The sequence below is a fragment of the Homo sapiens genome, chromosome 6, assembly GCF_000001405.40.
Source record: "Homo sapiens chromosome 6, GRCh38.p14 Primary Assembly".
In the NCBI taxonomy this organism is placed as follows: domain Eukaryota; kingdom Metazoa; phylum Chordata; class Mammalia; order Primates; family Hominidae; genus Homo; species Homo sapiens.
The window spans coordinates 71,133,622-71,152,126 of record NC_000006.12 but is presented as its reverse complement, the minus strand read 5'-3'; positions in this window follow the sequence as shown (position 1 = coordinate 71,152,126).

The window sequence follows — 18,505 nt, the reverse complement described above, 5'->3', positions numbered from 1 at the left end:
GGGGCTGGAAGTCCTAACTGCAGGGGCTTTCTCCCAGTGCAAGAGACTAAAACCTACCTGTAACTCCTCTACCAACCCACAGGTAAAGACACCATCAGTCTTCACAGCTCTTGGAGTTCTCCCCATTTAAGGTACCCTAGCAAATGGATCAGAGACCCATTGAGCAGGCAAGGGAAAATAACAACACATGTAAGGGAGCCCGGAAGTCAGAGAGAAAAAGCGTCTCAGAATTTTCCCTAAAAAGGATGACTCCTAATGATAACCAGCCAACACATTTATGTAACCACCTCCCCAAAAGAAAAGAAAAGAAAAAGATTAAAACATTCAAGGGGTGAATTTAAGGAGAAGAGGGTTCCTATGTTGAAACAAGTTAGTGAACTGAAAATCAAGAAGAAATATCTCACAGCTCAAAACAAACATATAAAAATACAGAAATAATAAGTGAAAACATAAACAACTTGTAAGATAAATATAGGAGACCAAACATGCAAATAACATCAACGAAAGAAGACATTTAAGCTAGAAGAGAGGCAAAAATTAAACAGATTATTAAAAAATAGAAGACAATAGGAAAAAAATCACTCAGCTGAAGGGAGAAATTGGTCTTCAGATTATAAGGGATCATCATGTCCCACACATGCCCAAACAGCCTAAAATAGGGTAAATCTGAAAGTAAGCACACGGCTGAGACCACTTTTTTATTTACGGCTGAGCTCAGAATAGTGCCTTCCACATAGTAAGCACTCAATGAATATTTTTAAATGAATGAAAAATACTTTCTTACAAGCTTTCAGAGAGAAAGAACTAAGTATTTTAAAAGGTAAAATCAGACTGGCATTAATCTCCTCATGCAAAATTGGAAGTTAGATCAGGCAGAACAAAAAGAGAACAAAAACTGTGTGCCCCAAAGGTTCCATACACAGTCTTTTCCTATGAGACAACATTTCCCTATTAGACTGAGAGAAAGATAATTGTGCACTTGCTAGTTTTTGATATCACCCACATATCTGAAGAAAAACGTCTAAGAATGATGTCAAGAAGCAAATGTATCAGAACACAGATCTCAGGATAGAAAAGAATGAGGAAGAAAAGAAAAAATAGTGAGAAATTCTCATTCACAGAGCTTATTTCCAGAATATTAAGGTGGCTCAATATCAGGACTCTATCAACATTATCACTTACGTTAACGAATTAAAGGATAAATGTGTCATAGATGCAGAAAAGTTATCTTTGGTAAAATTCAGCAGCTATTTATTTAAATACTAAGGAAAATTGTTATATGAAAGCAGAGGTAAAATATGCAAATACCATTTACCAATTACCAGCAGTGAATATCATTCAAAACTGTGTAATACTAACCCATTAAAATTAAAATTAATTAATTAAAATAAATTAATTAAAATCAATAATCAATAGACAGTGATGCTATTATTGTCATTATTATTCAATAATGTATGGATTTTGGTAAATCCATTAAGACCAAAACATTTATAAATGATATATAATATATTATATATATATTATATATATAAGTATCGGATTTCTTTTGCCAGTGATATGAGTGTAGACTTAGAAAACATAAAATTCAATAGTCTAAAAAAATGAAAATCATAAAATTAGGTAAAGTGGGTAGATTAAAAGTAGCAGTTGTTCTCCATATTAGTAAAAAAACAACTAGAAATACAAATGGAAGGCAATGCTATTCATGGTAGCAACAAAAACTGTAAAATAAATATAACTATAAAAGCCCTAGATGAAGAAAACCATAAAATGTTATTATAAAGGACATCTGATTAAATGAAAAGACATGCCATGTTCTTCATTGTCATATAACATGGATGTTCATTCCCATAAAATTTATTTATAAATGGAATGATTTCCAATCAGAATCCCAACAGGGCTTTGAGCGTCATGGGAAAAGCAACAGAACTAGGGTATAATCTCAAGGTCCATAGGAAAAATTAAATACCCAAGAACAGTCAAGAAAATGCAAAAGAAGAATAGTGAGGGAGCACAAGCGTAGTGTGAAATCAAAACAGACTGGAACGAATCAGTGCTGACAGAGAACTAGGCAAATCCATCAGTGAAAGAAGACAGAAACTCCAGAAATAGATCCCCAAATATATAAGAATCTCATATGTGATAAAGACGGTATTTCAAATAATTGAAGAAGTGGGAGTTAATGTAATAAATGGTGCTGTCACAACTGGCTATCCTTTTTTTCTGGCCTTAAAGGAATGATAAGGGCTGGAGTGCAGTGGCACTATCTTGGCTCACTGCAAACTCTGCCTCCCGGGCTCAAGCGATTCTCCTGCCTCAGCCTCCTGAGTAGATTGGACTACAGGCACCTCCACCATGCCTGGCTAATTTTTGTATTTTTCGTAGAGATGGGGTTTTTCCATGTTGCCAGGCTGGTCTCGAACTCCTGATCTCAGGCAATCTGCCTGCCCCGGCCTCCCAAAGTAGTGAGCCACTGCGCCCAGCCCATAATTTTTTTTAATTAGTTAATTTTTAAAAATTGACAAAAGACTACATAATTAGAGTGTACAACGTGACAATATATGTATACACTGTGGAATGGCTAGATTAAGCTAATTAAGGTATCTATTACTTCACATGCTCTTTTTGTGGTGAGGACATTTAAAATCTACTCTGCAATTTTCTTTTTTTTCAACTTTTATTTCAGGTGTACATGTGCAGGTTTGTTATATAGGTAAACTCAGGTCACAGGGGTTTGTTGTACAAATTATTTCATCACCCATGTACCATGTACTAAGCCTAGTATCCAATTGTTATTTTTCCCAAATCTCTCCCTCCTTTCACCCCACACCCTCAAGTAGGCCCCAGTGTCTGTTGTTCCCCTCTTTGTGTCCATGTGTTCTCATCACTTAGCTCCCATTTATAAGAGAGAACATATGGTATTTGGTTTTCTGTTCCTGCGTTGAGTTTGCTAAGGACAGTGGCCTCCAGCTCCATCCGTGTTCCTGCAAAGGGCATGATCTCATTCTTTTTTTATGGCTGCTGAGTGTTCCATGGTGCATATGTACCACATTTTCTTTATCCAATCTATCATTGATGGGCATTTAGGTTGATTCCATGTCTTTGCTATTGTGAATAGTACTGCAGTGAACATTCGTGTTCGTGTGTCTTTATGGTAGAATGATTTATATTCCTTTGGATATATACCCAGCAATGGGACTTCTGGGTTGAATGGTATTTCTGTTTTGAGCTCTTTGAGGAATTGCCACACTGCTCTCCACAATGGTCACATCTATTTACATTCCCAGCAACAGTGTAAAAGTGTTCTCTTTTCTCCACAACCTCATCAGAATCTGTTATTTTTTTCTTTTTTTATTTTTTTGGCTTTGAAATACTCATTCTGACTTGTGTGAGATGGTATTTCATTGTGGCTTTGATTTGCATTTCTCTAATGATCAGTGATATTGAGCTTTTTTCATTTGCTTCTTGGCTGCATGTATGTCTTCTTTTGAAAAGTCTGTTCATATTCCTCTGCCCACTTATTTATGTGGTTGTTTTTTGCTTATAAACTTATTTAAGTTACTTATAGACGCTCAACATTAGACCGTTGTCAGGTGCATAGTTTGAAAATATTTTCTCACATTTTGTAGGTTGTCTGTTTACTCTGTTGATAGTTTCTTTTGCTTTGCAGAAGAACTTAAGTTTAATTAGATCCCATTTGTCAATTTTTCTTCTGTTGTAATTGCTTTTGGTGTCTTCATCATGAAATCTTCGCCCAATCTATGTCCAGAATGGTATGCCTAGGTTATCTTCCAGGGCTTGTATAGTTTTGGATTTTACATTTAAGTCTTTAATCCATCTTGAGTTGGATTTATGCATAGGGTTTCAGGAAGGGGTCCAGTTAATCTGCATATGGCTAGCCAGTTATCCCAGTACTATTTATTGGAAAAGGAGTCTTTTCCCCATTGCTTGTTTTCATCAGCTTTGTCAAAGATCAGATGGTTGTAGGTATGTGGCCTTATTTCTGGGCTCTCTAATCTGGTCCATTGGTCTATATGTCTGTTTTTGTACCAATACTATGCTGTTTTGTATACTATAGCCCTGTAGTATAGTTTGAAGTTGGGTAACGTGATGCCTCCAGCTTTGTTCTTTTTGCTCAGGATTGCCTTGGCTATTCAGGCTCTTTTTTAATTCCATATGAAATTTAAAATAGTTTTTTTTCTAGTTCTGTGAAGAATGTCATCATTAGTTTGAAAGGAATAGCACTGAATCTGTAAATTGCTTTGGGCAGTATGGACATTTTAATGATATTGATTCTTCTTCTCTAAGATCATGGAATATTTTTACATTTGTTTGTGTCATCTCTGATTTCTTTGAGAAGTGTTTTGTAATTCTCGTTGTAAAGATCTTTCCCCTCCCTGGTTAGCTGTACTCCTAGGTATTTTTTTCTTTTTGTGGCAACTGTGAGTGGAATCTTGTTCCTGATTTGGCTTTTGGCTTGGCTGTTATTTGTGTATAGAAATGCTAATAATTTTTGTACATGGATGTTATACTCTGAAAGTTTGCCGAAGTTGTTTATCAACTGAAGGAGCTTTTGGGCTGAGATGAAAAACTCACTGCTGGGGTTTTCTAGATATAGAATCATGCTTTCTGTAAATGGGTAGTTTGACCTCCTGTTTTCCTAGTTGGAGGAAATCTTGCCTGATTGCCTTTGCCGGAACTTCCAATACTATGTTGAATAGGATTGGTGAGAGAGGGCATGCTTGTCTTGTGTTGGTTTTCAAGAAGAATGCTTCCAGCTTTTGTACATTCAGTATGATGTTGGTTGTGGGTTTATCATAGATGGCTCTTATTATTTTGAGGTATGTTCCTTCAACACCTAGTTTATTGAGAGTTTTTAGTATGAAGGGATGTCGAATTTCGTTGAAAGCCTTTTCTGCATCTATTGAGATAGTCATGTTATTTTTGTCTTTAGTTTTGTTTATGTGATGAATCACATTATTGATTTGTGTATGTTGAACCAACCTTGCATTTCAAGGATTAAGCCTACTTGATCATGATGGATTAGCTTTTTGATGTGCTGCTGGATTATGTTTACAGGTATTTTGTTCAGGATTTTTGCCTCATTGTTCATGGAAGATATTGGCCTGAACTTTCTTTTGTTGTTGTGTCTTTGCCAGGTTTTATGATCAGGATGATGCTGGCCTCATAAAATGAGTTGGGGAGAAGTCCCTCCTCCTCAATTTTTTGGAATAGTTTCAGGTGGAATGGTACCGGTTCTTTATACATCTGGTAGATTTCAGCTGTGAATCCATCTGGTCCTGGCCTTTTTTTTTTTTTTTTTTTTGGTTGGTAGGCTATTTATTACTGATTCAGCATCAGAGCTTGTTATTGGTCTGTTCATGGAATCAGTTTCTTCATGGTCCATTCTTGGGAGGGTGTATGTGTTCAGGAATTTACCCAACTCTTCTAGGTTTCTAGTTTGTGTGCACTGTTTCAAGTCAGTGGTAACATCCCCTTTGTCACTTTTAATTGTGTTTATTTGGATCTTCTCTCTTTTCTTCTTTATTAGTCCAGCTAGAGGCCTATCTAATTAATGTTTTCAGAAAGCAAACTCCTGAATTTGTTAACATTTTGAATGGATTTTTTGTGTCTCTATTTCCTTCAGTACAGTTCTGATTTTAATTATTTCTTGTCTTCTGCTAGCTTTGCAGTTGATTTGTTCTTGATTTTCTAATTCTTTTGGATGTGAGGTTATGTTGTTAATTTATCTTTCAAACTTCTTTTTTTTTATTATTATACTTTCAGTTTTAGGGTACATGTGCACATTGTGCAGGTTAGTTACATACGTATACATGTGCCATGCTGGTGCACTGCACCCACTAACTCGTCATCTAGCATTAGGTATATCTCCCAATGCTATCCCTCCCCCCTACCCCCACCCCACCACAGTCCTCAGAGTGTGATATTCCCTTTCCTGTGTCCATGTGATCTCATTGTTCAATTCCCACTTATGAGTGAGAATATGCGGTGTTTGGTTTTTTGTTCTTGCGATAGTTTACTGAGAATGATGCTTTCCAATTTCATCCATGTCCCTACAAAGGACATGAGCTCATCATTTTTTATGGCTGCATAGTATTCCATGGTGTATATGTGCCACATTTTCTTAATCCAGCCTATCATTGTTGGACATTTTGTTTGGTTCCAAGTCTTTGCTATTGTGAATAATGCCGCAATAAACATACGTGTGCATGTGTCTTTATAGCAGCATGATTTATAATTCTTTGGGTATATACCCAGTAATGGGTTGGCTGGGTCAAATGGTATTTCTAGTTCTAGATCCCTGAGGAATCGCCACACTGACTTCCACAATGGTTGAACTAGTTTACAGTCCCACCAACAGTGTAAAAGTGTTCCTATTTCTCCACATCCTCTCCAACACCTGTTGTTTCCTGACTTTTTAATGATTGCCATTCTAACTGCTGTGAGATGGTATCTCATTGTGGTTTTGATTTGCATTTCTCTGATGGCCAGTGATGCTGAGCATTTTTTCATGTGTTTTTTGGCTGCATAAATGTCTTCTTTTGAGAAGTGTCTGTTCATGTCCTTCGCCCACTTTTTGATGGGGTTGTTTGTTTTTTTCTTGTAAATTTGTTTGTGTTCATTGTAGATTCTGGATATTAGCCCTTTGTCAGATGAGTAGGTTGCGAAAATTTTCTCCCATTTTGTTGGTTGCCTGTTCACTCTGATGGTAGTTTCTTCTGCTGTGCAGAAGCTCTTTAGTTTAATTAGATCCCATTTGTCAATTTTGGCTTTCGTTGCCATTGCTTTTGGTGTTTTAGACATGAAGTCCTTGCCCATGCCTATGTCCTGAATGGTAATGTCTAGGTTTTCTTCTAGGGTTTTTATGGTTTTCGGTCTAATGTGTAAGTCTTTAATCCATCTTGAATTGATTTTTGTATAAGGTGTAAGGAAGGGATCCAGTTTCAGCTTTCTACATATGGCTAGCCAGTTTTCCCAGCACCATTTATTAAATAGGGAATCCTTTCCCCATTGCTTGTTTTTCTCAGGTGTGTCAAAGATCAGATAGTTGTAGATATGCGGCATTATTTCTGAGGGCTCTGATCTGTTCCATTGATCTATATGTCTGTTTTGGTACCAGTACCATGCTGTTTTGGTTACTGTAGCCTTGTAGTATAGTTTGAAGTCAGGTAGTGTTATGCCTCCAGCTTTGTTCTGTTGGCTTAGGATAGACTTGGCGATGCGGGCTCTTTTTTGGTTCCATATGAACTTTAAAGTAGTTTTTTCCAATTCTGTGAAGAAAGGCATTGGTAGCTTGATGGGGATGGCATTGAATCTGTAAATTACCTTGGGCAGTATGGCCATTTTCATGATATCGATTCTTCCTACCCATGAGCATGGAATGTTCTTCCATTTGTTTGTATCCTCTTTTATTTCCTTGAGCAGTGGTTTGCAGTTCTCCTTGAAGAGGTCCTTCACATCCCTTGTAAGTTGGATTCCTAAGTATTTTATTCTCTTTGAAGCAATTGTGAATGGGAGTTCACTCATGATTTGGCTCTCTGTTTGTCTGTTGTTGGTGTATAAGAATGCTTGTGATTTCTGTAGATTGATTTTGTATCCTGAGACTTTGCTGAAGTTCTTTATCAGCTTAAGGAGATTTTGGGCTGAGACAATGGTGTTTTCTAGATATACAATCATGTCGTCTGCAAACAGGGACAATTTGACTTCCTCTTTTCCTAATTGAATACCCTTTATTTCCTTCTCCTGCCTAATTGCCCTGGCCAGAACTTCCAACATTATGTTGAATAGGAGTGGTGAGAGAGGGCATCCCTGTCTTGTGCCAGTTTTCAAAGGGAATGCTTCCAGTTTTTGCCCATTCAGTATGATATTGGCTGTGGGTTTGTCATAGATAGCTCTTATTATTTTGAAATACGTCCCATCAATACCTCATTTATTGAGAGTTTTTAGCATGAAGCGTTGTTGAATTTTGTCAAAGGCCTTTTCTGCATCTATTGAGATAATCATGTGGTTTTTGTCTTTGGCTCTGTTTATATGCTGGATTACATTTATTGATTTGTGTATATTGAACCAGCCTTGCATCCCAGGGATGGAGCCCACTTGATCATGGTGGATAAGCTTTTTGATGTGCTGCTGGATTCGGTTTGCCAGTATTTTATTGAGGATTCTTGCATCAATGTTCATCAAGGATATTGGTCTAAAATTCTCTTTTTTGGTTGTGTCTCTGCCCGGCTTTGGTATCAGAATGATGCTGGCCTCATAAAATGAGTTAGGGAGGATTCCCTCTTTTTCTATTGATTGGAATAGTTTCAGAAGGAATAGTATCAGTTCCTCCTTGTACCTCTGGTAGAATTCGGCTGTGAATCCATCTGGTCCTGGACTCTTTTTGGTTGGTAAACTATTGATTATTGCCACAATTTCAGATCCTGTTATTGGTCTATTCAGAGATTCAACTTCTTCCTGGTTTAGTCTTGGGAGAGTGTATGTGTCGAGGAATTTATCCATTTCTGCTAGATTTTCTAGTTTATTTGCATAGAGGTGTTTGTAGTATTCTCTGATGGTAGTTTGTATTTCTATGGGATCGGTGGTGATACCCCTTTATCATTTTTTATTGTGTCTATTTGATTCTTCTCTCTTTTTTTCTTTATTAGTCTTCCTAGTGGTCTATCAATTTTGTTGATCCTTTCAAAAAACCAGCTCCTGGATTCATTAATTTTTTGAAGGGCTTTTTGTGTCTCTATTTCCTTCAGTTCTGCTCTGATTTTAGTTATTTCTTGCCTTCTGCTAGCTTTTGAATGTGTTTGCTCTTGCTTTTCTAGTTCTTTTAATTGTGATGTTAGGGTGTCAATTTTGGATCTTTCCTGCTTTCTCTTGTGGGCATTTAGTGCTATAAATTTCCCTCTACACACTGCTTTGAATGCATCCCAGAGATTCTGGTATGTTGTGTCTTTGTTCTCGTTGGTTTCAAAGAACATCTTTATTTCTGCCTTCATTTTGTTATGTACCCAGTAGTCATTCAGGAGCAGGTTGTTCAGTTTCCATGTAGTTGAGCAGTTTTGAGTGAGTTTCTTAATCCTGAGTTCTAGTTTGATTGCACTGTGGTCTGAGAGATAGTTTGTTATAATTTCTGTTCTTTTACATTTGCTGAGGAGAGCTTTACTTCCAACTATGTGGTCAATTTTGGAATAGGTGTGGTGTGGTGCTGAAAAAAATGTATATTCTGTTGATTTGGGGTGGAGAGTTCTGTAGATATCTATTAGGTCCGCTTGGTGCAGAGCTGAGTTCAATTCCTGGGTATCCTTGTTGACTTTCTGTCTCGTTAATCTGTCTAATGTTGACAGTGGGGTGTTAAAGTCTCCCATTATTAATGTGTGGGAGTCTAAGTCTCTTTGTAGGTCACTCAGGACTTGCTTTATGAATCTGGGTGCTCCTGTATTGGGCGCATATATATTTAGGATAGTTAGCTCTTCTTGTTGAATTGATCCCTTTACCATTATGTAATGGCCTTCTTTGTCTCTTTTGATCTTTGTTGGTTTAAAGTCTGTTTTATCAGAGACTAGGATTGCAACCCCTGCCTTTTTTTGTTTTCCATTTGCTTGGTAGATCTTCCTCCATCCCTTTATTTTGAGCCTATGTGTGTCTCTGCACGTGAGATGGGTTTCCTGAATACAGCACACTGATGGGTCTTGACTCTTTATCCAATTTGCCAGTCTGTGTCTTTTAATTGGAGAATTTAGCCCATTTATATTTAAAATTAATATTGTTATGTATGAATTTGATCCTGTCATTATGATGTTAGCTGGTTATTTTGCTCGTTAGTTGATGCAGTTTCTTCCTAGTCTCGATGGTCTTTACATTTTGGCATGATTTTGCAGCAGCTGTTACCAGTTGTTCCTTTCCATGTTTAGCACTTCCTTCAGGAGCTCTTTTAGGGCAGGCCTGGTGGTGACAAAAATCTCTCAGCATTTGCTTGTCTGTAAAGTATTTTATTTCTCCTTCACTTATGAAGCTTAGTTTGGCTGGATATGAAATTCTGGGTTGAAAATTCTTTTCTTTAAGATTGTTGAATATTGGCCCCCACTCTTTTCTGGCTTGTAGGGTTTCTGCCGAGAGATCTGCTGTTAGTCTGATGGGCTCCCCTTTGAGGGTAACCCAACCTTTCTCTCTGGCTGCCCTTAACATTTTTTCCTTCATTTCAACTTTGGTGAATCTGACAATTATGTATCTTGGAGTTGCTCTTCTCGAGGAGTATCTTTGTGGCATTCTCTGTATTTCCTGAATCTGAACATTGGCCTGCCTTGCTAGATTGGGGAAGTTCTCCTGGATAATATCCTGCAGAGTGTTTTCCAACTTGGTTCCATTCTCCCCATCACTTTCAGGTACACCAATCAGACGTAGATTTGGTCTTTTCACATAGTCCCATATTTCTTGGAGGCTTTGCTCATTTCTTTTTATTCTTTTTTCTCTAAACTTCCCTTCTTGCTTCATTTCATTCATTTCATCTTCCATTGCTGATACCCTTTCTTCCAGTTGATCGCATTGGCTCCTGAGGCTTCTGCATTCTTCACGTAGTTCTCGAGCCTTGGTTTTCAGCTCCATCAGCTCCTTTAAGCACTTCTCTGTATTGGTTATTCTAGTTATACATTCTTCTAAATTTTTTTCAAAGTTTTCAACTTCTTTTCCTTTGGTCTGAATGTCCTCCCGTAGCTCAGAGTAATTTGATCGTCTGAAGCCTTCTTCTCTCAGCTCGTCAAAGTCATTCTCCATCCAGCTTTGTTCCGTTGCTGGTGAGGAACTGCGTTCCTTTGGAGGAGGAGAGGCACTCTGCTTTTTAGAGTTTCCAGTTTTTCTGTTCTGTTTTTTCCCCATCTTTGTGGTTTTATCTACTTTTGGTCTTTGATGATGGTGATGTACAGATGGGTTTTTGGTGTGGATGTCCTTTCTGTTTGTTAGTTTTCCTTCTAACAGACAGGACCCTCAGCTGCACGTCTGTTGGAATACCCTGCCGTGTGAGGTGTCTTGATGAAGGCATTTAATGCTACGAAATTCCCTCTTAACACTTCCTTAGCTGTGTCCCAGAGATTTTCTTATCTTTGTTTCCCTCTTAACACTATCTTAGCTGTGTCCCAGAGATATTGTATCTTTGTCCTCGTTAGTTTCAAAGAACTTCTTAATTTCTGCCTTAATTTAATTATTTACCCAAAAGTCACCCAGGAACATGTTGTTTATTTTCCATGTAATTTCATGATTTTTAGTGATTTTCTTCATCTTGACTTTTATTTTTATTGCACTGTGGTCTAAGAATGTGTTTGGTATGATTTTGGTTATTTTGCATTTGCTGAGAATTGTTTCATGTCCAATTATGTGGTCGATTTTAGGGTATGCACCATGTGGCGATGAGAAGAATGTATATTCTCTTGTTTTAGTGTGGAGAGTTCTGTAGAGGTCTATCAGATCCATTTGGTCCAATGTTGAGTTCAGGTCCTGAATATCTTTGTTAATTTTCTGCCTCAGTGATCTGTCTAATACTGTCAAGTGGAGTGTTGAAGTCTCCCACTATTACTGTGTGGGAGTGTACATCTCTTTGTAGGCCTCTAAGAACTTGCTTTATGAATCTGGGTGCTTCTGTGTTGGGTGCATATATATTTAGAATAGTTAATTCTTCTTGCTGAATTGAATCCTTTACCATTATGTAATACCCTTCTTTGTCTTTTTGTATCTTTGTTAGTTTAAAGTCTGTTTTGTCTGAAATTAGGGTTGCAACTCCTGCTTTTTTTAATTTCCATTTGCTTAGTAGATTTTTCTCCATCCCTTTATTCTGAGCCTGTGGGTATCATTACCTATGAAATGGGTCTCTTGAAGACAGCATACCATTCAGTCTTGCTTTTTTATCCTGCTTGCCACTCTGTGCCTTTTATGTGGGCTCTACTCCAGAGAGATGCAGGTCAGCAATTTCTCAGTGCAATCAGCCTGGGATGGGGAATCTGAGCTATGGGACCAAGCTGGGGTTCTCTGCCTAGTGACAAGCAAGGGGGGTGGCTGAGACCCATGAGAGACAGACTGGCATCTTTTTAGGTTAACTTCAGCTTGTTGGAGATATTGGTAAGACATTGAGGTTCTTTGTTACTTTGTTAGTCTGAGGGTAGCAGGTGTAGTACCACTGCAGAGGCAGTGGCAGGGAGGCTTTCTGTTGCCCCTGGGGCTCCACCTTTGAGAAACCCAAAGTTGCTGTTACTGAAAGTGCTCAGCCAGTGGGGTGGCATGGCTGCACTGCTGGCATGAGCTTGGGACTCCACTTGTTGAGGAGCAGGGGGTCAAGGGCTCACCAGGAGGAAAGACTTATCTCCTCTCCATATCGTGACTGTGGTGTGCTGTAACCTCAGGTGTAGTCTTCAGACTCTTTGTTTCTTCCCCAGACTGAGGGCAGCAAGGACAGAACTGCTGCTGTGGCCATGGCAGAGGGGCTGTTGGATTCCTCTGAAAGCTTCCTCCCAGGGAAACTCCAAGCCATTACAAGTGGGTATTCTTAGCTGTGGGTGGGGTGACTGTTCTGTGGTTACGAGCCAGGAACCCTGCCTAGTGAAGAGTTGGGGGGAGTGTTGGGGGTTCCCAGGAAAGGGGGGCTGGACTCCTCTCCATATGGGGATATGGTGTGCTAGAGATGCCAGTGTAATGACTCAGCCCTTTGTTCCTTCCCCAGCCCAAGGGCTGTTAGGGCAATACCACTGCAACTGTAATGACAGCGGGGTTGTGGGTTGACTCTGAGATTTCCTCCTTGGAGAAATGCTGGGCTGCCTCTGACTGTGGTGATCAGGCAGGGGCACGGGGGTTGTGCTGGAGTCCCAGGTAGGGTGGGCCTGCCTAGTGAGGAGAAGTGAGGACTGAGATCTGCATAGAGAAGAGTCTGGCCACTTTTCTGTGAGGTGGTTGCTCTGTGCTGGGGATCCGGACCAGTCCCCATTGTCCACAGACTCTCTAGAGCCTGGAGACAGCAAGGACAAGGGTTGTGAGACAGCAAAGTTGGAAACCCATCCCTTCCACTGGGAGCTCTGTCCCAGGGAGTTGTAGAGTTGCTACTGGCTCAATAGCCCCAATGGCAGGTGGCTAGAGACCCAGGCCTGGAGGACCCACCCAGTGAGGAGATACAGGATCAGGGACCCACATAAGAGAGTCTGGCCACTTTTTCATAGGGCTGCTGCAGTATACTGGGGGTCCACTCCAGTCCCCAGTCACATTGGATTTTCCAGTACCTAAAGGTATCAACAGTGAAGGCTGCTAAACAGCAAAGATGGTGACCCATCTCTCCCTCTGGGAGCTTCATCCCAGGGAGGTTTGAAAACCCTTGTTGGCCAGAAAACACTGGCAGGAGTGACTAGAGACCCCTATCAGAGATTCTGCCCAGTGAAGAGAAACAGGATTTAGGATCCATGTGAATAAGCAGTCTGATCTCTTCTCTGTAGAGCTGCTGGGCTGTACCGGGTGACTGCTTCAGTCCCTGGTTGCCTTGGAATTTTTAGAGCCCAAACAAAACAATGGCTAAGGCTGTGAAAATGGCTATCCGTTTTTTAAAATGTGTTGAGGCTTGTTTTAATGGTCAGCATATGCTCTTTGTATATTGATTTATTTCCCCATTCTTTGGCATACATTTAATACTGGAATATAAAATCCAAAAATAAAGTCCCAAATTATCACATAATGTTGGAAAAATGTGATAAATTCCCTCCATGAGAATACAGATTGTATATGGCAATTTCCACAAAATTAGAAGCTTAAAAACACCCATTTATTATCTCATAGTTTCTGTGATTGGAGTCCAGGTACCAAGCTCACCTGTGTTTTCTCCTCAGAATCTCACAAGATTAAATTAAGTTGTCAGCAGAGCTGTGTTTCCTCAGGATGCTCTTGGGAAGGCTCTGTTTCTAGGATAATTTAAGTTGGCAGAATTCAGTTCCAAGCAATTGAAGAACTGAAGTTCTTATTTCCTTGCTTGTCATCAGCTGGGAGTGGCTCTCAGCTTCTAAAGGCTATGCACATGTCTTCCCACATAAACCCTTTCAAACTTAGCAATGGTAGAACAAGTCCTGCACACTCTTTGATCTCTCTGACTCCCGCTTCTGAGGAAGTCTCTCTTCTGCTTCCAGCCAGGTAGAGTTCTCTGCTTTTAAGGAGCACATACTTAAATTGGGTCATTCAGATAATTCAGAATAATCTCCCTATTTTATGTTTATTTTATAATTTTTTTAATTTTTAATTTTTATGGGTACATAATAGGTATACATATTTATGGGATGCATGAGACATTTTGATACAGACATGCACACAATATGTAATAATCACATCAGGGTAAATGGGGCATCCATTATCTAAAGCATTTATCATTTCTTTGTGTTATAAACATTCTAATTGTACTCCCTCAGTTATTCTCAAATGTACAACAAATTATTGCTAATGGTAGTCACCTTGTTGTCCTATCAAATGCTAGATCTTATTTATTGTATCTAACTATATTTTAGTGCCCATGAACCATCCAAGTACCCCCACCCACACTACACTTCTCAGCCTCTGGTAACTATCCTTCTATTCTTTATCTCCATGAGCTCAATTGTTTTAATTTTTAGCTCCCACAAATAAGTAAGAGCATGTGAAGTTTGTCTTTCTATGCCTGGCTTATTTCATTCAACATAATGAACTCCAGTCGCATCCATGTTGTGGCAAATAACAGCATCACATTCTTTTTTATGGCTGAATAGTACTGCATTGTATATATGTACCACGTTTTCTTTATCCATTCATCTGTTGATGGATACTTAGGTTGCTTCCAAATCTTGGCTATTGTGAATAGTGCTGCAATAAACATGGCAGTGCAGGTATCTCTTAAATATACTGATGTCCTTTCTTTGGGGTATAAACCTAACAGTGGGAGCATTGGATCATATGGTAGTTCTATTTTTAGTTTTTTGAGAAACCTCCAAACTGTTCTCCACAGTTGCTATAAAATTTACATTTCCACCAACAGTGTATGAGGGTTCCCCTTTCTCCATATCCCTGCCAGCATTCATTCATTATTGTCTGTCTGTGGATAAAAGCCATTTTAAATGGGGTGACATGATAGCTCATTGCAGTTTTGATTTGCATTTCTCTGATGATCAGTGATGTTGGGCACCTTTTCATATACCTGTTTGTCATTTGTACATCTTCCTTCAAAAAATGTCTAATCAGATCTTTTGCACATTTTTAATTGGATGATTAGATTTTTTTCTGTTAAGTTGTTTGAACTCCTTATATATTCTGGTTATTAATCCATTGTCAGATGAGTAGTTCACAAATACTTTCTTCTATTCTGTGGGTAGTCACTTCACTTTGTTGATTGTTTCCCTTGCTGTGCAGAAGCTTATTAACTTTATGTGATCCCATTTACCCATTTTTGTTTTGGTTGCCTGTGTTTTGGGGGTATTACTCAAGAAATTTTTGCCCAGACCAATATCCTGGAGAGTCTCCCCAATGCTTTCTTTTAGTAGTTTTGTGGTTTAAGGTTTTAGATTTAACCTAAATTTTCTTTTTGTATATGGCAAGAGATAGGAGTCTAGTTTCATTATTCTGTATGGATATCCAGTTTTCTCAGCAGCATTTATAGAAGAGATTGTCTTTTCCCCATTGTATGTTCTTGGAACCTTTGTTGAAAATGAGTTCCCTGTAGATGTATGAATTTGTTTATGGGTTCTCTATTCTGTTCCATTGGTCTATGTGTCTTTTTTTTATGCCAGTACCATGCTGTTTTGATTACTATACCTTCATAATATAATTTGAAGCCAGGTAATGTGATTCCTCTAGTTTCATTCTTTTTGCTTAGGATGGCTTTGGCTATTCTGGGTCATCTGTAGTTTCATATTAATTTTGGGATTATTTTCTCTATTTCTGTGAAGAAGATCATTGGTATTTTGGTAGAGATCACTGAATTTGTAGTTTGCTTTGGGTGATATGGACATCTTAACAATAGTGATTCCTCCAGTCCATGAACATGAAATATCTTTCCATTTTTATGTCTTCTCATCAATTTCTTTCATCGAAGTTTTCTAGTTTCCATTGTAGAGATCTTTCACTTCTTTGGTTAAGTTTATTCTTAGGTATTTTATTCATAGCTATTGTAAGTGGGATTATTTTCTTGATTTCTTTTTCAGATTGTTCACTGTTGCATATAGCAATGTTATTGATTTTTATATGTAGATTCTGTATCCTGCAACTTTACTGAATATATTTATAAGTTATAATAGTTTTTTGGTGGGATATTTAGGTTTTTCCAAATATGAGATCATATCATCTGAAAACAAGGATAATTTGAATTCTTACTTTACAGTTTGGATGCCCTTTATTTCTTTCTCTTCTCTGATTGCTCTAGCTAGGACCATCAATACTATGTTGAATAACAGTGGTGAAAGTGGGCATCCTTGTCTTGTTCCAGATCTTAGAGGAAATGCTTTCAGTTTTTCCCCATTCAGTATGATACTAGCTGTGGATCTATCATATGTGGCTTTTATTATGTTGAGGTACATTCCTTCTATACCCGGTTTTTTGGGGATTTTTGTCATGAAGGCTGCGGCCGCCACAGCTGGGAATTTGCTGGGTCATGCCTGAAGCCAGTACAATACTAGATCTTGCCTAAGGCCCTTGGTGACTGCCCTCTAGCTACCACTGATGTTTATTCAAGGCCCAAAGGCTCTTTAGTCAGCAGATGGTGAATTCTGCTAGGACTAGTTTCTTTCCTTCAGGGCAGTGGGTTCCCTTCTGGCCCACGGTGGGTATAGATATATTGTCTGAGAGGTATGGCCTGGAATGGGGGCTTCAGGACTCTGCTTAGTGCTTGATTTTACTGTGGCTGAGCTAGTATCCAAGTTGGAAGACAAAGTCATCCTTACTCTTCCCTTTCTTCCCGGAGCTGTGAGCTGCACTCTCTGGAGCTGGGGGAGGGGTAACACAAGCACTCCCTTGGTCACCCCAGATGGTGTCTCACTGGGTGATGTGCACTCCAAGTCCACTGGCTCTGAACCCAGCACAGCACCAGGACTTGCCCAGTCCTTATGGTCTAGACTGATTTCAAGTTTGTTAGGACCCCAGAGTGCTTTTAGTCCATGGCAATGGGGCTAACCAGAAATCAGGTTTTGACCACTGGGATCGATGATTCTTTTCTGGCTATGGCTAGTTTAAATGCTCCCTGCATGAGTGCCAGCCAAATTCTGCCCTGTGTTGCTTTCTGCTATAATAGGATAATACTGACTTCTAATGCAAAGCCTCACAATCACTTTGCTCTCCCTCCCCGAAAATGCACAGATTCTCTCTCCATGCCATGCTGTGCTGCCAGGGAGTGAAAGAGGGGTGGCATAGGCAATTCAAGACTGTCTTTCCTACCCTCTTTAGTGCCCCTTTCCTTGACATGATGTTAAAAGCAGGTACTGTGATCGCTCACCTGATTTTTGGTACTTATGAAGGTGCTTTCTTGTGTGGGTAGCTATTCGGTTTGGTGTTCCTGTAGTGGGGGATGATTGCTGGAGGGTTATATTTGGCCATCTTGCTCCTCCTCCTTGATAATTTTTTTAAGAGATGGGGTCTCACTCTGTCCCCAAGGATAGAGTGCAGTGGCACAATCATAGCTCACTGCAGCCTCGAACTCCTGGGCTCAAGTGCTCCTCCCATCTCAGCCTCCTGAGAAGCTAGGATTACTAGTGTGAGTGTATTGATTTTTAATTAAGCTTCTCATTTTGAAATAATTGTAGATTAACATGCAGTTGAAAGAAAAGATAGAGAAATCACCCACACGCTTTACCTAGTTTCCCCCAATGCTAATATCTTATAAAACTATGGTACAAAATCACAACCAGAATATTGACATTGATACTGTCAAGATGCAGAGTATTTCCTTCACCACAAGAATCCCTCATGTTGATCTTTTATAGCACACCCACTTGCCCACACTTCCTCCTTAATTCCTTGACATCCACTAATCTGTTTTTCATTTCTGTAATTTTGTCATTTCAACAATATTATATAAATGAAATCATATAAAATATACTCTTGAAAATAATGTGTATTCCTCCATTATTAGATATAGTGTTATATGAAAAGTGTTCAGTTGTGGTAGATAATATTTTTCATGTTCTCTATGATCTTAGTAATTTTTTTTTGTCTAGTGATTCTATTATCTGTGGAGAGAAAGAGATCTTAAATCATGATGTAGATTTATCTGTTTCTCTTTTAATTCTGTACATTTTGGCTTTATACACTTTGAAGCTGTGTTAGTAAGCTTATACACATTTAAAATTGTTATGTCTTCCTAATTCATTAACCTTTTAATTATATGAAAATGTCCTTCTTTATCTTTAGTAATACTCTTTCTTGAAATCCAGAGATTTATCTGATATTAATGTAGTCACGCTAACCTTCTAATGCTTACTGTTTTCGTGGTAAGTCTTTTTCCATCCATTTACTTTCAGCC